Here is a 23,999-nt window from a genome sequence, read left to right as displayed (position 1 = left end):
CTGACTTAGATGCTTCAATTTGCCCTAATGGGCAGGCCCATCTGTCAAGGAACCAAGGGTGATCTCTGGCCCACAGTCAGCTAGGAGCTGAGGCCCCCCAGTCCAACCGTCCTAAGGGAACTGAATTCTACCAACAACTGCATAAACAAGCTCAAATGTGGATCCTTCCCCAGTTGAGCTTTCAGATAGGACCTAATCCTGGGTAATACTTGAGCGTAGCCTCATCAGAGACTCGAAAGCAGGGAACTGGTATGAAAAAAAAATGACTTATTTGAAATTTACAACTGGGCTAGTAAGGGATTAAAATAGGTTGAATTACTGAACCGAAAATAGTGCCCAATATTTAAAACAATACCTGGCAAAAACACACATGAAATGATTTGGTGAACAAGTGAGAGAATGAGAATTAAATTAGTTCAGCTACCAGTCCTCAAAAATTGCCATGAAAAATTAGGCAGTGAAAACACTCACAATATAGTGAGTACGTTTGACAGAGAAGAAAATAGAATGGTGGTAGTCTGGCGATTGATCATTACCCTCCACCAGCTGTGTTATATCTTCTGAGATCAATAGGTCTATAAAAAAGTACGTTTTGTTCCTTAGAACATTTTCAAATTGTGAGATGGAACCACTCCTTCCAATTATTCTTTGACCTCAAACAAGAAGGTCTCCTATGCTTCCTTACTTAGATTTCTCAAACCTCCCTCCATCCTTGGTCTATTTCTAAAGTCTAACACAGACAGACCTCAGTAGTACACCTGGCTAGCTGGTGTCACCATATAATGAGATCTTCTCCATCTAGAAAATTCCTGAATTCAGAAGCTCCTGAGTATGTGAAACAACACAGTTCCCTATTTTCTTTGTCATATAAATGTTCTAGTCTGTATTCAGCATTAATTTTGCTTTGTCATAGAAATTTTCTTTGTCATATAAATTTACTAGTCTGTATTCAGGATTAATTTTGGAAAAATAATTACATAAAGGAATTCATGAATCTAACAAAAAATGGGAGCTTTTCAATTTCTATTTACCTATATATTTTTAAAAATAAGACATATAGTAAAACAAAACTGCAACTAAAGTGGAGATTTTGAAGGCAGGAAGATAATGGAAGTAGCAGAGAAGAAAGACGTCTATGACCATCAGTAAAAACCAGTAAGGAATAACAAAGTCAGTCTGTGTGTGTGTGTGTGTGTGTGTGTGTGTGTGTGTGTGTGTGTGTCTCAAAAATGGGACTAGAAGGGATGGTTTGAAGGGATTTGCATAGGAAAGATAAATTTTACAACATTCAGATACATATTATCAATTAACTCTAAGATATCTTAGAATCTGTTACCTATGCTGTTTTGGTAAATTCAGTAATATGAGTACTTTATACAAAGGTATTTTCTAGAATGTATGACAGAATTTTATCAGTGCATTGTTATATTTAACACAGCAAGAATTGCTTGAAAGGGTTTTAACTTGCAGAATAAACACATGTCCACAGAGAACAGGACCATTTTGGATTACAGAGTTCTGGAGAAACAGGCACAATAAAGAATGATTCCGAGCAAAAACACTGACAGGAAGAGGCAATCTTAGTGTTTGGTTGCCTGGTCTCTTCAAACACATGGCACATCACAACACATTTGTTCTTTTCAGCAATATTTTCAGAAAACGACGTGCTGGCATTTGTAAACATTTTGCTTGGGTGGAAAGATGTCCAAGCACAAAGCAAACTGTAAAAATCCATGCAGTGTATTTTGCCAGAATAAACCACTAGACCACAACAAATAAACGCAAAGCCCCCAAGGAATCCCAGCAATGCGCTTTTGAATTGTGAGCTAGGAGAAAGATGTTGGCTATACAGCATAACTGCTTGCAGCTAAGGTGGTAGGAGAACACGCTGCTCATTATAGGCGATGCCACTTAGGAAACTAACTCTGCACATCATCCTTCCTCATGATGATGCAACTACTGCACTGCTTTGTTTCTCCTTGACAGATTCTGTTCCCCACAAGCAAATCCACCTGTTGGGTAGATGTTCTCCGGAGATTCTTCCTTGCATCCCTGGCTGGTGTAAAGACGCTGCATGGGCATCTCATAATCACTGCACATACGCATTATGCTGACTTTTCTGTGTCTGTGCCTGACTCATGTTCTAGACGTGGTGAGCAATTCAAAGTGAGAGCCCTGGATTCTTTGCTTCTCTATTCCTAGCAGGGTTCCTGGCTCTTTCTTGGAATTCCCAAAGTATCAGCTGAGCTACCAATGAAGTAAGTGCCCCTTAGACAGAAGAGGAGGACCTTTCATGAGCTCCAACCTTCCTGGTCTCACCTCCACCCTGACTGGTTGCTGAAGCCATGTCTGCTTCTTTAGAAGTTTGCAAATTTACCCTGATTTTATAAATAGAAAAAAATGACGGCAGGCACAGTCAGCCATCACCTTTGTCAAGTCTGCGGAAAAATAACTCTAAATGTTTTACCATTTGTTAAAACTCTAGAATAAAATTATGATTATAAATTTAAGTCAGTCGCTGTTTATTCAAAATGTACCTCCACTAGTTAAGCGTTATCACCATTCAGCTCAAGATAGCCAACAAAAAGGAAGGAAGAGAGAGAAGGGGAGGGGAGGGCAAAGTCATGACATTTCCCACTTCTGAAAATAACACTGGTTTTGAGTCACATAACTGCACCCTGCCACTTCATAGTTGTCTGAGCTTCTTGCTGTTATTCTAAGGTTTCATTTCCTCATTATAAAATGGAAAATAATCCCCATATCAATGGGTTGTGGCGAAGATTCCATGAGGTGATTCCCTTAAGATGTTTGACACAGAGAAGATCTCCAACAACAAACTCCAGGGCCATTTCTCTCCCTCCTCACTCATCCTTGCTTCCTTTCTCCGCCCGACCTCATGGCTGGCCAGGCAGGGCTGCCGTGAACATCTAAAGAGTGGCCAGATGAAATATTCCAACTGAGCTCCACTTCACAGGGTAAGTGAAACAAGCAACCTGCAAATCAAAGACTTTGTTGTCTTTTTACCACTGTAGAGCAGTACAGTTCTGAAACTTTGTCCCTGGAAGGCAGAGATGCCTTCCCTCTCCTGGGTTCTCCTTGAGTGTCATAAGAAAATCCCTTTGCATAAAAGAAAACAAAATGCTACAACTAACAGGACAGCTGTAGACAAGTGGGTGAGGCACGGCAGACTGGTAGAGGGCAGGTTAAACAATCCCCTTGCTGGCTAAAACACATTATTTCCCCCACAAAACCTTCTTAGGTGACTAACCACCAAAAAGTCGAACCTTTTCATTTTATTCACCATTCCCTTTGCATACCTTCCTCTTGCCACCCCTCCCAAAAAAGATTCATACTTGAACAGAAACATTCTCCTTCCATAACCTCACAGCAGGGATTTCAAAGCTTCCACAACTGCATTTTTTTTTTTTTTTTTGAGATGGAGTCTCACTCTGTTGCCCAGGCTGGAGTGCAGTGGTGCAATCTTGGCTCACTGCAACCATTGCCTCCCAGATTCAAGTGATTCTCCTACCTCAGCCTCCTGAGTAGTTGCGATTACAGGTGAGTGCCACCACACCTGGCTAATTTTTGTATTTTTAGTGGAGATGGGGTTTCACCACGTTGGCCAGGCTGGTCTCGAACGCCTGACCTCGTGATCCGCCCACCTCAGCCTCCCAAAGTACTGGGATTACAGGCGTGAGCCACTGCACCCAGCCTCACAACTCCATTTTTTACTGACAAATCCCAAGTGTCTCTTGTCTGGGTTTTCCCCCATGTTTTCCGGTCTGCTAAGTGTTGCTATTTATGCATTTATTTTCAATGGCTCAGGCCAAAGCCTCACCAATCTCACACACTCTTGAGAGTCCGGTACCTGCCTCAAAATTTCTGTGGATTCCTAGTAGGTTTACCATCTCCATCACTGGTTGACTGTGACTTGTTGGTCCCACTGAATTATCAACCTCATTGGCATTTCATTTCCTGTAGTCATTCTCTTTTACCAACCACCTCATAAGCTAATGTGGAAACAATTAGAGTTTTAATTTCCCAGAAAGGAGGCTCTAACAGGTACAGTAGTCTTATAAAGATTTTATTTTATTTTTATTATTTTTTAATTTTTTATTTCCATTGGTTTTTGGGAAACAGGTGGTATTTGGTTACATGAGTAAGTATTTTAGTGGTGATTTGTGAGACCGTGGTGCATCCATCACCTGAGCAGTATACACTGAACCCAATTTGTAGTCTTTTATTCCTCACCCACCTCCCATTCTTTCTCCCAAGTCCCCGAAGTTCATTGTATTATTCTTATGCCTTTGCATCCTCATAGCTTAGCTCCCACTTATGAGTGAGAACATATGATGTTTGGGTTTCCATTCCTGAGTTACTTCACTTAGAATAATGGTCTCCAGTTCCATCCAGGTTGCTGCAAATGCCATTATTCATTCCTTTTTATGGCTGTGTGGTGTTCCATCATATATATATACACACATATGTATATGTATATATATGTGTGTGTGTGTATATATATATGTGTATCTCACAGTGTCTTTATCCACTCATTGATTGATGGGCATTTGGACTGGTTACATATTTTTGCAATTGCGAATTGTGCTGCCATAAATATGCATATACAAGTATCTTTTTCGTATAATGACTTCTTTTCCTCTCGGTAGATACCCAGTAGTTATGCAAAGGTTTTAGAAAGTGTGGCAGATAGAGGTTACGAAATAGCAAAGCTCAATAACATGAGACATCGCTGTCTTACAGTTGCCTGGCCCCACTCCCATCCTACCTCAGGGACCATCTCCTGGACTGGCCTCCTTAGCCCCAACTCCAGACATCACATGCCCAACCCCATCATCCTTGTCAGAGCTCACCCTACTTCTTTCTACTCCCCAGAACTCATGAAATTCCTCTGGTTTCATTTTGCAGAGTGGTTTAGCCTTATCTTTGCTGTGAAAATCCTTCCAGATGGCCCAGCAGGGAATAGAGGTGGGTCAGGGTCCACTCTTTTCACACTCCAAGAAGCCCAGCAAAGGTATTTTTCTAAACACAGAGCTGAAATAAATCCAACCTTTCCCTCCAGTGAGTAAAAGAGCAATCATTTCTTTTTTTCCTCATATAGTTTTTTTTTTTCTGCTGTACTAATTAGGTATTTTACGCTAGTTAATGTAAATGAGCAATGTCAAATGCAAACAAGTGCAAATTATTGGCTATGTCATAGTCAAAGTTTTCATTCTTGGAATTTTGAGAAAGAATTCACATCACTTAAATTTCATAGCAGAATTCTGTTCTACTATTAATCTTGCCCTTGCGTATATTACAAGAACACAGAGGACTAGATGAGAGGAAGAACAGAAGAGATGAAATGATTTGAAGTCAAATACCCTGGATAGACTCCTCTTCCCGTGGGTTTCCCACAGAACTTAAGAACAAGAAGAAAACAAAGAAAATAGAAGCACCATTATACAATATAAAAGACAACTCAAACTTAGCTTTTTCTCATCTGTTATCCAGCACTCTAGTTGATGGATGTGTCCAGTTTAATGCAAGCAAGCCTGGCTGTAAACAGAATTGACATGAAAGGCATTGTTACTCCACACTCCTGTAGTTCAGCAACTTGCTAAGGTTGTAGAAAGAGGGCCCAGAATTACGTTAGAAACTTCATAGAAACAGAATATTTCAGTAATAACCTCACCACAGTGTCTGTTTTGAGCCCCCTAGCTCATGGCACCTGTGTGGAAAATTCCACCCCGCCTCATCCAAGACTGGCTCTGGGGTCATCACTGAGTAATGAGGAAATGGTACCACGAGAGGTCAGAAGGAGATTCGCACAGATTCTTCCACACCCCATTGTGAAACTTAGAATATTTCCTCAACGCAAGCAAAAGTCTGTGCCTATTACCATCACCTCCTCTTTATTGCTTTTTTTTATTATTATACTTTAAAGTTCTGGGATACATGTGCAGAACATGCAGGTTTCTTACATAGGTATACACGTGCCATGGTGGTTTGGTGCACCCATCAACCCGTCATCTACATTAGGTATTTCTTCTAATGCTATCCCTCCTGTAGCTCCCCAGCCCCCAACAGGCCCTGGTATGTGATGTTCCCCTCCTTGTGCTCATGTGTTCTCATTGTTCAACTTATGAGTGAGAACATGCGGTGTTTGGTTTTCTGTTCTCGCGTTAGTTTGCTGAGAATGATGGTTTCCAGCTTCATCCAAGTCTCTGCAAAGGACACGAACTCATCCTCTTTTATGGCTGCATAGCATTCCATGGTGTATATGTGCCACATTTTCTTTATCCAGTCTATCATTGATGTGCATTTGGATTGGTTCCAAGTCTTCACTATTGTGAATAGTGCCACAATAAACATGCATTTTTGTAATCTTAAGTGCTTGGATTCTATAAATTCTAAAAAGTAGGTGGTTGTATTAGTTTGGTAGGGCTATCATAATAAAATACCACAGACTGTGTGACTTAAGCAACAGAAATTTATTTTCTCACAGTCCTGGAGGGCTGGAAGTTCAAAGTCAAGGTGTCAGCACGGTTAGTCTCTGAAAGGGCTCTTTTTATGGCTTGTAAATGTCTTCACATGTTCTTTCCTCCATGCATGTGCATCCCTTGTATCTCTCCATGTGGCCAAATGTTTTCTTCTTGTAAAGACAACAACCATATTGGATTAGGACCCATCCCAAAGGCCTCATTTTCACTTTAACTTAATCACCTTTTGAAAGACTGTATCTCCAAATACAGTCACATTCTGAGATACTGGGGGTTAGGACTTCAACATAGGAATTTTAGGGGAACACAATTCAGCCCATCACAGTGGTCAAGGTAAATAACTCACCAATGGGACTGAGTTTTTCTCCACTTAATATCACTTCCATTCATTCTTGCCACACGCAATTAAACGACAAAGATCACGTGTGAATCAAATAGTAGTCCTCTCCTATGACATTTGATGACTTTTTTACATATTTATTGGCTTCCAATTTCACAGGTTGATTTGATTATGAGGGAAAAAAGAAGTAATTGTAGTTCTGCCTTCAAAAAGCACACTGGATTTGTTAAAATCATTTTTATTCTCCCACCTGAATTCAATGTGTTTTAAGACATAACATGGGCATTTCCAGTTGCCCAGGGAAGAGGTTTAGCTTATATCTACATTTATGATTTGATCGAACAACATTTACTATTTATTGGGCACCTACTATTTTCCAGGCAATATTGAGCCATTTAGTACAAAGTTAAGTAGATACTGGTGCTCACCCATAAAGTAGCTCACAATCTAATCGGTAAAAGACACAGGTGTAAAGAACTGTAATTTATTATGATAAAAATAATTTTGTAAAGTACCTTAAGTTGAACTTAAAATCTTGAAATTATAAAAACTGGTCAACCTTACAGATATTTGCAAAGTTTCAAATTGGCAAGACGTAGTCATGTTAATAATATCTTCCTCCAAGAGTGCCTCATCACTAAGAGAATAGAGATTTCTCCCCATTTATTTTTGGTGTCCATGCTTGACGATGCAATAAGGATCCCCACTCTGGAGAATAGGGAGAAACTTCTATTCAGTGCAGTGTTCTGAGTGTTTCATTAGGAGCCATAGGAAAAAAAAATCACAGGCCATATGTGGAGCACTGGAAACACATCATAAAACCCACACATGGAGATCACTTGGCAGTGCTGGCACATGACTGGGAAATCTGAGGCAACTAAATTCCACCAGTACGATCTAGGAAAACATCACATTCAAAGACTGCCTTTAGCATCAAATGGCCAAGAAGGGTTCAAAGTTCAGCCACCTGAACAAGATCACAATCTGGATGTCAGTCAGATCACAATTGACTGAGAGGCCAAGAGGCAAAGTTCTGCTTTGAGGTCCTTCTCATCCAGCGTTTGCCTCTTTCATTGTTTCTCTTCTCCAGATGCCTTACTCTTTGGAGCGCCTACCCTCACACTCTGCCCGGAGGCCATCCCACAGTAGCCCACACTCTGGCCCTCCTTCCTGGGGAAAATCCTATATTTTTGGAATTCTTGTTCTTTACCGATAGATGTTCTGAATAACACTGCCATATGCCCTGAGATGGTTCGCATAATGTCTTAGAGCCTCAGTCTCTTCATCTGTAAAATGTAACTAACTCCTTCTACTCCACAGGGCTGCTACAAGGGCAAAGAAGAAAGCAGATAGGAATGTGCTTCGTAGTTTGTTAAATAGTTTAACAACAACAATAGCAGCTAACATTTATTGAAAGCCAACCACAGACAAGACACTACTCTAAGCACTATATTAGGTATTAGCTCATTCACCTTCTAAAGAATCATGAGGTAAATGCTATTGTTATGCTGCTTGTTCAGATGAAGGAAGAATCACAGGTGGGTTAAGTAACTTGCTGAATGCCACACAGAAAGAAAAGGGTGGAGCTGAGATTTCAACCCAGGCAGAAAGCTCTAGAGCCCTTGCTATTCCCTGCAATGTTATACCGGATATTCTAAATAGGCTGCTCTATGTCCCAAATCTTAGGTTCCCTAAGTAGTTGTCATATATCAGTACTTTTACGTAGTTTGGTAAATGAATTCATCCAGTATTTCACTGGCTCTATTATTACCCCTCTTACATAAAAAGAGTGCATGTTTACGGAAATTATCTTGAAACATTACTTGATTCAACCAAGCAATTCTAGTGATGATATAACAGGTACCAGGAGGTGACGAACATAATTTGGGGGAGATGGTGGGTGGAGAAGGGGGTTGCTGGGTCTTGAAATACCCCTTAAAATATCCTGTAATTACCTAAGTGTAAAGCCCCCAAAAGAGAAAGTCTTCAAAAAGACTGGCTGTTATGGACTGAATTGTATCCCCTCAAAAAATTATATGTGGAAGTCCTAACCCCAGTATCTCACATATGACCATCTTTGGAGACAGGATCTTTTCAGAGGTAATTAAGTTAAAATGCAGTCATTAGGGTGGGCCCTAATCCAATATGACTGGTGTCCTCACGAGAAGAAGAAATTCGGACACAAAGAGAGATGATGACATGAAGAGACAGGGAAGAGGGTGACCATCTACAAGCCAAGGAGGAAGGCCTGGAATAGACCCTGCCCTCGCGGCCCTGAGGAGGGACCAGCCCTACCGATGCCTTTCATTCTCAGGCTTCCCACCTACAGAACTATGAGAAAATATATTTCTGTTGTTGAAGCCACCCAGTCTGTGCTATTTTTTTATGGCAACTCTCGCAAACTGATACACTGGTCAGGAGAAGATGGTATCCTTGGGGCACCAGGTCTCAGAGAAACTAAAAGAATGGACAAAGTGCGGGGCTAAGGGAGGGATAGCATTAGGAGAAATACCTAATGTAGATGGCAGGTTGATGGGTGCAGCAAACCACCATGGCACATGTATACCTATGTAACAAACCTGCACGTTCTGCACATGTATCCCAGAATGTAAAGTATAAAAAAAGAAAAAGAAAAAAAAAGAATGAACAAAGGAATGGTGGTCCTGCATCTTTACACTCACTTACATTGTTCCCCTTACTCTTCCCAACAAGCCAGTGGTTAAGTATTAATATTATTATCCTCACCCACACATGACTGCCAAGTGCATTTTCCCAAAATACCTCTCTCAGCATGTGGCCCGCCTGTCCGAAAACCTCCAGCAGCTCCCCCACTGCCTCCAGGAAAATGTTCGAATTTCTTCCAAGTGGTCCTGAAAATATCTTGTAATTTATAAGCCAGAGAACAAACATCTTATCACAGCAGTACACGCCCACAGAATTGTGGAGAAGGAAACCTGGGAAATCATCTCTCAGAAAAAGGAGGAAAATTCTTCAGCCACACATAGCACCTCTGCTGCTACTGGTAGTCAAGGGACATGCAACAGGTTTTCTACACAAGAGACTTTCCCTAGTTTCAAGCGAGTAACAGACATGTCCACCGAGGAACCCAAATGTTCTGAACTTCTGGGGCTAGAAAACCTGAACTACATCCCCGTTTCCATTGGCCAGACATCTAACACTCTCCACGGAATCATTTGCTTCTTGTTCCTAGGAGTCCACTTTGAGGTGAGCCCTGAATGCCTTGGTGCAGGACTTAAATTGCATCTTCTTTCCTGCTGAGGCACAATGTTCAAATGTTATTTTTCTCTAAGGAACCCAGAGAGAGTTCTTTAGAGACATCACCTAATTCAACACTTCCTATATTAGACCTAAAGGGTATGATCAACCTGGGTTTGGGAGATTGAATCACTTTCACAAGAAGAGAAGGTGAAGAACAGCTTCACTTTTCCAGGTGGTCCTAATGACTCACCTGATAATGACAACAGATTCAGAGCCAGCCTCCCCATCCAGACCTCCTGGTTCCAAACCTGCCAGTCTCTGATTGTCTCAGTCTTGGTTGGCATGAAAACTCCTGTCGGTTTTCCTGCAGGGCCAGACTTAAGCCGGGAGAAGCCAACCAGAAGGCAGGCTCTGGAGTCAGCCTGGCTGTCCCTGACAGTGCCCAGCCCAGTGTGGGCACGCCAATCAGGCTGCAGCCTTTGCCTTTAACCACAGCTTGTGGACATGGCCCATACCACTAGCTTTTTGTTCAACTTCCTTACTTGATTGTTTCCTGCTGAAATAGCAGATCTCATCTTATTTGCTAGAGAACTATCAATCTGCCCAATCTTTGCCATCAATCTAACTCTTAGCAGACACATCTTGTCCCTGGACACTCATCAACCTGATCAGTAAACATTTCCCCTGAAACTCCTGCTACCACCAAATCAGACCTCAAAGGTGAACGTATGAACATGTATCACAACTCTGTTTTATAAACACCCCTTGGCCACCACTATTTTTTTTTTTTTTTTTTTTTTTTTGAGATGGAGTCTCACCCTGTCACCCAGGCTGGAGTGCAGTGGCAGCCAAGTGGGATCTTGGCTCACTGCAACCTCTGCCTCCTGGGTTCAAGTGATTCTCCTGCCTCAGCTTCCCAAGTAGCTGGGATTACAGGCCCGTGCCACCACGCCCAGCTAATTTTTTGTATCTTTAGTAGAGACAAGGTTTCACCATGTTGGCCAGGCTGTTCTCGAACTCTTGACCTCATGATCCTCCTGCCTCAGCCTCCCAAATGCTGGGATCACAGGCGTAAGCCACTGCGCCCAGCCAGCCAGCACTATTTTGCCCATACTCCTTGCTGACCAGCCCCTTCAGACCCCGGTTTGCAAGGCCACCCACCTGCTCATTGGAATTACTCAGGTAGACTGTAAAATTCCAGATGCCCAGGCTGCACCCCAGATCCATTAGAATTTCCAAGAGCGGAACCCAAGTGTCAGTATTTTTTAAAAGTCTACAGGTGATTCTAATCTGCAGACAAGCCTGAGAGCAACTGCTCCAGGCCGTTTTCCCAGTTGAACCTCATTTTCTCACTGGCATAGAGCTGAGGTCCCAGCCTAGTACAGATATGCACCTAGGTCAGTAATGACAATACCAGAAAAGAATACTGAAGCCAGAGAATGAAGATAAAGTGGTCCCCAGCCACCACAGTAGATGTGATGATTCAAACAGCTGATATTAGAAGGGGAAATTGCCAATTGTTTGGCATTTGCCACTGTGTTGTTAAAAGTGGGTCAGAGCTTCATGTCATATTTTTAAAAATGGCTTACAGTGAATCATAATTGGTAATCAGAAAATCCATCATAAACGTAAAGAATCCAAACCACTAATAATTAAGGTCAGAAATCAAAGTAAACCTCCACTACAGCCCAGCTCATTAATGTGGGTTTCATGACACTTTGGTAACAGGTCATTTCTCCTGAAATGACACAATTGCATTGAGTAACCACGTATGATATTACTAATCTGCATTGTGGGTGGTTAGTTCTGGAAGTCATATCCTGGGTGGGAGGTTGAATAAGCTGGCCTTTAAGGTCATCTTGAGTTCTGACAAGTCTTTGATTCCAGGTAACAAGCCCTCAGGGTACTCAGGAATGGTGGAGGAAATTATCTGATGTTAACCTCGGCCACTGTTCTGCTCCGCAGAGCTCAGCCAAACCAGGGAACAGGATGCCCTACTGTTCAGACAATGTCACAGTTTGGATTTGGCATGGCTGCAAGACCTGAGCTAACCAGAGACAAGAATCCGGGTTCCAGAAAGCCCAGCTGTGACTCAAAGTGACAGGCAGGAGTCCTGTGTGGGTGACAGGGGACCCTGCACTCTGGAGGGAATGATACATTTTTTCTGCCTTATTTACTGGCTTTCCAGAAAGCCAGCAATGAGGCATGCAGGGTGAACCACCTAACGGTGAAATTGTTTACTTCACTCTGGATCACCTTCATACGGAGGACTGAATTCTCTCAGGGATTCATTACCGCCCGCTCCTAAATGGTGCCTGCAGGGCATCACTGGGGTTTGTTTTTCTTAGCATGCTGCTTGGGAACATGGTCATGCTGTTGTAACTCATCAAGGTCCCCTTGAGGGAACAAGCCTCATTAGGGAATACTGATGGGGAAAAGATGTGGGGTTTTCCCACTTACTGGGGAAAACGGCAATCAGAGCAAACAACAGAACCACTGGGGACAGGCATTTGCAAAAAATAAGGAAGGCTAAAGGAACACTGAGTATCATTTATCTATTTAGAAAGAGACGATTTGGAAACTTGCTTTCACGTCAGTTGGCTGGAGCCTGATGCCGTGGCCAAAGTCAGACATTAGATCCCCATGCAGCCTGGTTAGCACCATGCAGGGAGATCAAACTGTGAACACAAACTACTGCCCTTACCCTGATTAAGTGGTCCCCAGCTGTTGGAAGTCAGGGACCCCCCCCAAACAGAGGGACTGGCTGGAGCCACAGCAGAGGAACATAAATTGTGAAGATTTCATTTTAATATGGACATGTATCAGTTCCCAAATTAATACTTTTATAATTCATACCTGTCTTTACTTTAATCTCTTAATACCGTTATCTTCATAAGCTGAGGAGGTACATCACCTCAGGATCACTGTGATAATTGTGTTAACTGCACAAATTGATTGTAAAACGTGTGTTTGAACAATATGAAATCAGTGTACCTTGAAAAAGAACAGAATAACAGCGACTTTTAGGGAACAAGGGAAGACAACCATAAGGTCTGACTGCCTGCGGGGTCAGGCAAAAAGAGACATATTTTTCTTCTTGCCGAGAGCCTATAAACGGTTGTGCAAGTAGGAGAGATATCACTAAATTATTTTCCTAGCAAGGAATATTAATATTAATACGCTAGGAAACGAATGCATTCCTGGGGCGAGGTCTATAAACGGCCGCTCTGGGAATGTCTGTCCTATGCGGTTGAGATAAGGACTGAGATACGCCCTGGTCTCCTGCAGTAACTTCAGGCTTACTAGGATTGGGAAACTCCACCCTGGTAAATTTTTGGTCAGACCAGTTCTCTGCTCTCGAACTCTGTTTTCTGTTGTTTAAGATGTTTATCAAGATAATACGTGCACCACTGAACATAGACCCTTATCAGGAGTTCTGCCTTTTGCCCTTTGTTCTGTTTCCCCAGAAGCATATGATCTTTGTTCTACCTTTTGCCCTTTGAAGCATGTGATCTTTGTACCTACTCCCTGGTCGTACACCCCCTCCCCTTTTGAAATCCTTAATAAAAACTTGCTGGTTTCAAGGCTTGGGCAGGCATCAAGGTCCTACCGATATGTGATGTCACCCCCGGCGGCCCAGGTGTAAAATTCCTCTCTTTGTACTCTTTCTCTTTATTTCTCAGCCAGCTGATATTATGGAAAATAGAAAGAACCTACATTGAAATACTGGGGGCAGGTTCCCCCAATACCCAGCTATCTCACTGATGAGAAGAATGAGGGATCTCACTGATAAGTTAACTGTGTCACTCATATTGGACCAGCATCCATCCAAATCTGGTCCCCAGTGAAAAGCAGGCAAACAGCCTTCATCTCCCATCACTCTTCACACTCTGCTTTGTGCAACTGGCCCAGTCTACCTTCTTCCCAATGTTCTGCTTTAAACTCTGTGGTCACCAGATAATGCGAGGCTGTCAGGCTGAGCAGCCCCGTAACCCAACCCATCCAATACCAGGTTTCCAAAGGGCTCCAAAAAGGACCCTCAAAGGCTGGTTCAGGGAGATCATCTGGGCTTCAGTGAGGTATAGGGTTTCCCAACAGAGAGCAAGTGACATTTGAAGTGGGATAATTTCCCACTCCTGTCCCATTCATAATGAGACAGCCAAATATAAAGGGGTCACCAGAGAACCTCCAAGTGGCCTGCACACTGGGGGAGGGGTCTTGGGAAGTTCATGCCATTTGCAGTGGGGAGGAGCCTGGCCCCTCCTCTTCCTGGGTGGTACCTGGGATTCAGTCTGTGAGGCAGGAAGCACACTAGCAGGAATCTGGCTCTGCAGAGCATCCCTGTTTCCCTTTTTTTCCTTTTTACCCAATAAATTCCATTTTTCTCACCCTTCAAAGTGTCTGTAAGCCTAATATTTCATAGCCGTGTGACAAGGACCCAGATGTTAGCTAAACTAAGGAGAAAGTCCTAGAACAATCACAGGACATTTTATAGCTCTAGTTCCCTCCCCTGAAGTGCCAGAGGAGCTTCTCAGTCATTAATAACTTCTAAATATGCCCCATCCCTTTTCTGAAAGGCCTGGGATGAAGGTCACAAGAATGTCCCCAGTAAAGAATACCTAAAACAGTGTACTTGACCTGACATATCTTACTGGTAAACGTTTTCTGCTAAAACCTTCTTCAAGTGTTGTTAGTTTACAAAACAACTGTATGTCAGCCACAGCCCCACAGGAAGCCAGAAACCCTATTACAGAGCTGAACCAAGTGGTCTCATTCAATTGCTGCCCCACAGCCCTGTACATCCTCAAAATATGGCAGCTGCTTTAATTGCTCCAGTGATTTGGAACGTACTACCCTCTGGAGCAAACTGATGACATCCCTGGACCATTCACTAGACAGTTCCACTTTCTGTTGCGTTGAAATTTATCTCCTTATAACTTCTACCTGCTGGACTTGAGTCTGACCTCTAAAGGCTGCATGCGCACACACACACACACACACACACACACACTCTCTCTCTCTCTCTCTCTCTCTCATGCAGCTGCCCTTGAAATATCTGAAGAACACTACCTTATCCCTTCCCAATTTAGCAAGCAGCCTGATCCAACTCTTCTTCTACAGTTTTATCATTTTTAGACCACTTAACTGTATGTGTCAGTCACTTTACCTGTGTTATCTTTTATTTTCACAAAACCCCATCAAATAAGCATATTATCCCCATTTGATGGAGGAAACTAAGCAGTCAACCCAAATCTCCTTGGGAAGTAAAGGACGTAGCCCATATTTACTCATTTTCAAGTTCATGTTTCTTCCATTAAAAACCTGTAGTTCCCACACCTGACTCCAAGAATGAGTAGGACAGGTTTATTTTTAAAATAGAAACACTGTGCACAGGTCCTAAAACAGATTAAATGAATCAGAACCAGATGGTTCTGATAGAACTGATCCAGAGAGTGGCATTTAAAAACTGCTGCCTCATGGGATATGTAATCTCCTCAATCTCTTTTTACCCTTTTTAGGAGAATAAAAATCAAGACACTTTCTACAATGTGTATGCCAAGTATGGCCTGACCGGCACACTCCAGAACAGACCCACTCTCCTCCCCTACACGTGAAACCTGAGATGCCATCCCGTCAACTGTAAGAGTGGGGAAAATGGCGCCCAAGCACACAGCTAGAGATTCAGCGTGGCCACTCCCCTCAGACTTTGTGCCTCTAGCTTTTTTCCCCCATGCTAGTCTTCACGTGAAGTGCATCTCTCGAAGGCAATTAAAATTACACAGTGCCCTGATTTCAGTCTTCCTGTAACCATGCTGAATATTTTCCACTTAAAAAAATTAAGTTTTAATTAAGTTTTTTCATCAAAACACAAGTCCTGCTGATAATGTCAGGAAGGCCTGAGAAAGTAATTACATGCGCAATCTGTTTTTGACATACTTCATTCTCCTTTGGGACATTTCTTCTGTCTCCTTTACTTCATTAAAAATCCCCTATTGTCGTAGGAAGGCTTGATTTCTTCTCTATTTACCATAACAGAGACTAAGACCCAGGTTTCCTCCTTCAGCACACAGCAGCAACACCTCATACATTGAATGGACTTTGTTAGGCATTTGGGTTACACACCCGGGTCTTCGTTCTACGTGTCCCTTTGTTCTGATCACCTACCAGTGTAGTTGTATGAAGGCACTTTGGTGGAGCCCACCACTCACTCTCCTTAGCTCCTGTCTCAGGCTAATATGTGTCTCACCATTCCATGAAGAAAATATGCTCTACTCTCTGATTTCCTTAAGATAGACCTGATAAAGAGGATACACAATTATCAACAGATCAAATGTTGTTTCTGTTTGGCATCTGGCAAACCAACACCCATATTTTCCACGTGACATGGATTGGATTTGCGTCCCTACCCAAATCTCATGTCAAATTGTAATCCCCAAGGTTGAAAGAGGGGCCTGGTAGGAGGTGATTGGATCAATGTGGAGGAGGGCCTGGTGGGAGGTGACTGGGTGGTAGGGGTGGATTTCCCCCTTGCTGTTCTCTTGGCAGTGAGTGAGTTCTTACGAGATCTGGTTGTTTAGAAGTATGTAGCACCTCGCAGCAATTTCTCTTCCTTCTGCTTGGGCTATGTAAGACGTGCCTGCTTCCCCTTAACCTTCTGCCATGATTGTAAGTTTCCTGAAGTCTCCCCAGGCATGCTTTCCATAGAGCCTGGGGATCCTCTTTTCTTTACAAATTACCCAGTCTCAGGTAATTTTTTATAGCAGTGTGAGAATGGACTAATACATCATGCCTGGCTCTAACTTCGTGTATAATTTCCTAGGACTGCCATAAGAAGTTGCCACAAACTACGTGGCTTAAAACAGAAATTTATTCTCTCTGAGTTTTAGAGGCCCGAAGTCTGGAATCAAGGTGTTGACAGGGTCACGCTCCCTCTGAAGGCTCTAGGGAAGAATCCTTTCTTGCCTCTTCCAGCTTCTGGTGCTCCTGGCATTCCTTGGTTCTAGATGCATAACTCCAAGGTCAGCTTCTGCATCTCCCCATGGGCTTCTTTGCTTTGTCTCTGTGCCTTCTCAATTTCTTAATGACAACAATAATTGGATTCAGGGCCCACCCTAAATCCAGGATGATTTCATCTCAAGAACCTTAACTAATTACATCTACAAAGTTCCTATTTCCATATAAAGTAACATTCTGAGGTTCCAGGTAGACGTGAATTTGGGAGGAACACTATTCAACTCACCAGTCTTGTCTGATGCAGTCCTTTTGGGTAGCCCAATAGTAAGATGGGAAAAATTTGAAGCCACAGCCAGGATCAAAAAGACCAAGATTCTTATCTTAATCTGCTAAAGGATAAAGGAGAGATACCTCCGAAGGGAACCATACAGGCATGATTTTTTTGACTCATGTTTTTGACTGGCATAAGGTACAAAGCCCAACTAAAGACATTTGAATATGTCTACAATTTAAATTTGGAGATATATGACCCCAAATCTGTAGACTAGACACCCCAAAATTGGCATGAATTATTTTATCAGCAAGTAGAATTATTCCTATCCCATGCCAGTCACTGTTTGCTTCTACTTTTTATCTTTATTTAATAAATCTGATTTGTATTCCTCTCTGACAATTTGTTTCCAGATTCAAAATAATGGGTTTCAGGAAATTTGGGCTCCACCATAATTTGGTCCCAAACGTTCCTTTAACCTATATTTCACACTGTTCATAACCCTTCATACATGCTCCAGGCCAGCCAACAGCAACCACTCCACTTCTATTGAATATAATTTCTACCTTCCCGTTTCAACCTGTTCCTTCCAGCTGGAATGATAACTGATTTCTTCTCTGCCCCGCCATGTGGTGGTTTTAAAACATGTTGTCAAATTCTTCAACACTCCCCCCATTGAAGAGTGAACTCTAATTCCCCTTACCCTGAATATGGCTGGGCCATGTCTAATGAACAGAATGCCATGGAAGTGATGCTAGATGACTTCTGAGGCGAGGTCATGAAAGGTGATAGTCTCTGTCTGGCTCTCACTTTATTCTTGTGACACTCACCTTGAAACCCAGCAGACCAAGCTCTGAAGAAGCTAAGCAGCCACATGTAAAGGACACGAGTAGGTGCTCCAGCCACAACCCCTGCTCAAGTTCGGCCAACAGCCAGCATCAACTGCCATACATTTGAGTGAGCAAGCTGTCTTATGATTCCAACCCCAGCCTCAGGCTCCCCCAGCTGACACCAAGTGGTGCGGAGATAAGCTATCCACCAAGCCTTGCCAAAATTCAGATTAATGAGCACAGTAAATGTTGTTTTAAGCCATAACTGTTGGGACTTTATCATGCAATGTTAGATAACTGGAATGCTCTACTTCTGCCCATCTTGACCTTTTAAAAATCCACTCATTTTTAGGCTATGTAACAACAGCTTACTTTATGACACCATACTATACTTTGAATTCAACCTGTCCAAAGTAAAAGTCAACTTTCCTCCTAAATCTTGTTTTATCTCAGCTTTCTATCTCAGTGAATGGTGTGACCATTCATCCTACTCAGCAGGCTAGAAATCTAGGGGCCATGCTAATAACCCTGCCCCCACACCATATTCAATCAATACCAAGTTCTATTGATTCTGCCTCTTCCACATCTCTAGAACTCATCCATATCTCTTTCTTTAAGGGGTCCACCTGAATTATTGCATCTTTCACCTGGGAACAATAGCACCCTGGATGATCTTACTACCACTCCTCTCCAAAGGCACTAAAGCAATCTTTGCAAACCACAAATGTGTTCCCTTCATGTTTACTGCTTAAAACCCATCAATGATTTTCCATTGTTCTTTGAATAAAACCCTCATTTTTTTAAAAGACAGGGTCTCACTCTGTTGCCCAGGCTGGAGTGCAGTGGCACAATACCAGCTTACTGCAGCCTCGAACTCATGGACACAAGTGATCTTCCCACCCTCAGCCTCCTGAGTAGCTGAGACTACAGGTTTGCATCACCATACCCAAATAATTTTTTTCTATTTTTTTGTAGAGATGGGTTCTTGCTATGTTGCCCAGGCTGGTCTTGAACTCCTGGCCTCAAGTGACCCTCCTATCTCTCAATTTTTTTTTTTTTTTTTTTTTTTTTTAGATGGAGTCTTGCTCTGTCACCCAGGCTGGAGTGCAGTGGTGCAATCTCGGCTCACTGCAAGCTCTGCCTCCCAGGTTCATGCCATTCTCCTGCCTTAGTCTCCTGAATAGCTGGGACTACAGACGCCTGCCACCATGCCCAGCTAATTTTTTGTATTTTTAGTAGAGATGGGGTTTCACCATGTTAGCCAGGATGGTCTCAATCTCCTGACTTCGTGATCTGCCCGCCTTGGCCTCCCAAAGTGCTGGGATTACAGGCATGAGCCACTGCACCCAGACTTCTCAAATTTTTAAAGTGGTTATAAGGTCCTGCATAGCCTGGTGGTAGTCTCCACCTCCCACTCTGGATTCATCCCACCTGTACTCTTCCTTGCCCTCTGGGTGCCAGTGCCCTTACCCTTGTTCATTCTTTCAATAGCCCTGTGCTTTCTCTTACCACACAGCATTGGCATGAGCTGCTGTCTGTATCTGCAATATAATTCTGTACCCCATGTGCTACGATTTGAATGTGTTCTCCAAAGTTTATGTGCTGGAAACCTAATCCCCATGCAACAGTGTTGGGAAGTGGGACCTTTAACAGGCAATTAGGTCATGAGGGCTCATGAATAGATTAATGTCATTATTGCAAGAGTGGTTTGTTATAAAAGTGAGTTCGGCCCTCTTTTGTTCTCTCTTGTGCACATGTTCTCTTGCCCTTCTGCCTTCTGCCACAGGATCATGCAGCAAGAAGGTTCTTGCCAGACGCTGGCTTTCTTTTCTTTATAAATTACCCAGTCTCTGGTATTCTGTTATAAACAGCACAAAATAAACTAAGACAAAAAATTGGTATCGAGAAGAGGGTTTATTACAGTAACAAATACCTGAAAACACGGAAGAAGCTTTGGAATTTAGTAATAGGTAGAGGCTGGAAGAATTTGGAGGAGCAAGATTTTAAGAAGCATAGATTGTCATGAATGGGGCATTAAGGGTGATTCTGGTGAGAACTCAGAGGAAGAAAAGAACTGCAGAGAAACTGGGATTTCCTAGAGGTTACTTAAGACGTCATGATCAGTATGTTGGTAGAAACATGGACAGTAATGGCCATCCTGATGAAGTCTCAGATGGATCTGAGGAACAGTGTATTGGAAACTGGAGTAAAGGCCATCCTTGTGATACAGTTACAAACTTGGTGGAATTGTGTCTATGTCCTAGGACTTTATGGAAGGCAGAACTTAAGAGTGATGAACTAGGCTAAGTAGCAAATGCCTAAGTAGCAAAGTTGAAGGTGCTGCATGGCTTCTTTCAGCCACTTACAGTAAAATAAGAAGGAAATGATTTAAAGACAAATTTGTAACTAAAAGGGAAGAAGAAAGTAAAAGTTTTGAAAATTTTCAGCCTGGCCATGTAAAGAATGAAAAAAGCATGTTTGGGAGACAATATTAAGGGTGTGGAGATTATTCTCCAGATTTACGACTTTATGTTGTTTTTCCTGTTGGGTTTTGAACTCACTTGGGACTAGTTACTCTTTTTTTCTTGCCTATTTCTCCATTTTGGAATAAGAATGGCTATCCTATGCCTGTCTCACCATTGTATCAAAAATAGATAAATTGTTTAATTTCACAGGCTCACAGCTGGAGGGGAATTTGCCTCAGGGTGAATCATGCCTTGAGTCTCACACATATCTGATTTAGATGAGACTATGGACTTTGGACTTTTAAGCTGATGTTGGAATGAGTTAAGATTTTTAGAGCAATTGGTATGAAATAAATATATTTTACATGTGAGAAGAATGTGAATTTTGAATACCAGAGGCAGAATGCTATGATTTGAATGTGTCCTCTGAAGTTCATGAGTTGGAAACTTAACCCCCAATGCAAGAGTGTTGAGAGGTAGAACTTAGAGGTGGTTAGGTCATGAGGGCAGAGCCCTCATGAATGGATTGATGTCATTATTGTGAGAGTAGGTTTGTATCATAAGACTGGGCTTGTTATAAAAGTGAGTTTGGCCCTCTGTTGCTCTCTGTGGCATGTGTGCTCTCTTGCTTTCCTGCCCTCCACCATGAGATGATAGAGCAAGAAGGTTCTTGCCAAATGACAGCCCATTAACTTTGGACTTCTTAGCCTCTGGAACCGTAAAAAATAAATTTCTGAGTTTTTAAAATAAATTACTCAGTCTCAGGTAACAGAGAACAGACTAAGACACCATCCCTTCCCAAATTAATTGTTCTTAATCCTTTAATCTTCCCTTAAATATCACTTCCACAGGGGAGCCCTTTATCCCTAGACAGATGAGATTCCTCTACTATACATCTCCTGTCATTTACCACACTTATAATTTTACATTTACTTGAGTAATCTAAAGATTCATGGCTGGGCGTGGTGGTTCACACCTGTAATCCCAGCATTTTGGGAGGCCAAGGCAGGTGGATCACTTGAGGTCAGAAGTTTGAGATCAGCCTGGCCAACATGGTGAAACCCCATCTCTACTAAAAATCCACAAAAAAATTAGCCCAGTGTGGTGGCAGATGCCTGTAATCCTACCTACTTGGGAGGCTGAGACACAAGAATCGCTTGAACCCAGGAGGTAGAGGTTGCAGTAAGCTGAGATGGAACCAGTACGCTCCAACCTGGGCAACAGAGTGAGGCTCCATTGAAACCACCTTTACAAAATTTTAACTGAGGAAATTATGATGGTGAAAGAAATCAGACCTAACCTACTCCATCTTGTTTCTATCCTTTAAGCTGTCCTTGTTCATTCTTGGGCGTAGGCTGAACTAACTTTGGGAAGGAATTCTGTCCATGGTTTGACTCTGAAGCAAAATTGCTAGCAGCCCTTTCCCACGTAGACCCCCTTCTTGCCTAGGGACCAGTCTGCCTTTGCAGTACTAACAAATTAGCTACAAGATTAGAAATTACAGTTTAGGGGTCATGCAGCCTCTGGCTCCAAGAGTCTGAACCTCCCCAAATTGCTCCTGGGGATAACATCACTATTGTAAAACCTAACATCAGTTCTTGAGATATTTTGCAGACTCTGCACTCCATGGATCAGCTGACACCACCCAGACCAGTAATGTGGCTCAACCAATTCTGCCATTCCACCCAGGAACATAGACAGCAAGAAAAACTCACTTCGACCCCTCTATGATTCCATCTCCAACCTGACCAATCATCACTCCTCGCTTCCTGAGCCCCTACCTGCCAAATTATCTTTAAAAACTCTGATCCCTGAATGCTTCAGGAGACTGATTTCAGTAATAATAAAACTCTCATTCCTGCACAGCTGGCTCTGTGTGAATTACTCTTTCTTCACTGCAATTCCCCTGTCTCGATACATTGGCTCTGTGAAGGCAGCAGGCAATGTGAACCCACTGGGTGGTTATACCGCTTCAAAAAAAAAAAAAAAATGAATCATGAATGTCTCCTCTACCAGACTCAACTGTAGAAGAGCAGGAATGGTGTCTTCTTTTGCTCTCCACTCTGTTCCCAGCTTGTAGCTACATAGTGTACACACAATAAATATTAGCTGAGTGGATGAACCATTTCTTCTCTGTCTTTAAATGTAATACCTTGCTCCAAATAGATTTTCGATAAATACGAATAAATGGAGAATGCCATTTTAAATCATTCAAAAGGGCTCTTGCAGAATAAAAGACTTAGAAGAGAAAAAGTTGAACCTCAAGGCTCAAAAATACAATCATCTTTCCACTGTTGATCTATGAACTCATGAAAGAGAAGCTTCTCCTAGGGACAGGGTAACATTCATCGGGGGAAAGGGGTTTTAAAACATTAAATAATAAGTTTGCAAACTTTTCCTTTAGGGACTAAGAATTTTAGCTTTTTTGCCAGTTATTATTCCCAAACTCTGCTAAGTGATCACTATGTGAAAACAACATTAAGTAGGAAGAAATGGAAAGAGAGTGGTCTTATGAATCCATGCAATTCAGGCCAATTTATTACAGTTGTAATTTTCCTTTAATTTTTGAGAGTCAGGGTTTTCCACAGTAAATATACCAGGAAGCATGATGGCTCTCCAGACACATAATGGTTAAATGATCTGGTCTTGGGGCATCATTCTTTCAAGATTCAGAAATAATTTTCCCAGTCTCGCCAATGTCTCAATGATGAGTTTGAAATTCTTCAAAGATGATTCCAGTTGTTTCTTCAGTTTCTCTGGTGGTCTTTTTCTCGCATCCCTACAAGTCCTGTGACTGACATATCTCTTACTAATTTGATGTTAACTTGATTCTAATCTGATGGTAATAAATATTATTAACATTAAACAAATATTTTATTAAATGCTATCTTTCCTGCATTATGTTTTATTACAGACATTGCTGAGAGAAAATTTATTTCATTATCTAATCAGACCATCAATAATACTCTAAAGGTAGAATTTAAGACTAAAATGTTTGAAAATGTTGGATATTCAACCTTAAAGACGTGTTCTGATAGAAGAAAGGTCTAGGAATGGCTAAGTGAATATCCCCTTAGCTCAGAACCACATTCCAGTTTGCTGAAGTGTCCACTAATTTTGCCTTGACATAAACTGCACCCCAAAAGCCATTAATCATGTTTGGCAAAATGAGCCATTTTAGAACAATGGCCCACAATCCCTACAACTTTTAAATTCCAGCACAATCAGCAAAAGGCCAATAGTTTCTTACGTATAATCCTACAACAAAAATTAATGTTATTTAATTAACAACAAATAAAAGGTAAATGGAGTGTAGGGTGAAATAAATAGGGCTAGAAAAAGACAGTTTTTTGTGTTTTTTTTTGAGATGGAGTCTCACTCTGTTGCCCAGGCTGGAGTGCAGTGGTGCAATCTTGGCTC

At 42.1% G+C, this 23,999-nt stretch overlaps 1 protein-coding gene and 1 long non-coding RNA gene across 52 annotated transcripts in view, besides 1 other annotated feature; one reads left to right on the top strand and one right to left on the bottom strand.

Annotated features, from left to right (window-relative positions):
• Positions 1–23,999, bottom strand: part of RGS6 (regulator of G protein signaling 6) — a 762,695-nt gene that overhangs the window by 462,714 nt on the left and 275,982 nt on the right. The gene's annotated exons all lie outside the window — the stretch shown is intronic.
• Positions 2,909–22,442, top strand: LOC124903343 (uncharacterized). The gene is made up of 2 exons (XR_007064260.1): positions 2,909–2,975; positions 22,175–22,442. It is a non-coding gene; the product is annotated as an uncharacterized LOC124903343 (long non-coding RNA).
• Positions 11,199–12,398: an enhancer, noted in NCBI's record as "CDK7 strongly-dependent group 2 enhancer chr14:72621633-72622832 (GRCh37/hg19 assembly coordinates)". NCBI's record gives its function as "activates an origin of replication core promoter dependent on BRD2, BRD4, P300/CBP, MED14 and CDK7 cofactors, with strong dependence on CDK7, by STARR-seq in HCT116 cells {active_cell/tissue: HCT116}" and the evidence as "EXISTENCE:reporter gene assay evidence [ECO:0000049][PMID:35650434]".

The sequence above is a fragment of the Homo sapiens genome, chromosome 14 (assembly GCF_000001405.40).
Source record: "Homo sapiens chromosome 14, GRCh38.p14 Primary Assembly".
Classification (NCBI taxonomy): domain Eukaryota; kingdom Metazoa; phylum Chordata; class Mammalia; order Primates; family Hominidae; genus Homo; species Homo sapiens.
Note: the sequence above shows the minus strand (reverse complement) of the source record. Positions and strands in the feature narration are given on the sequence as shown.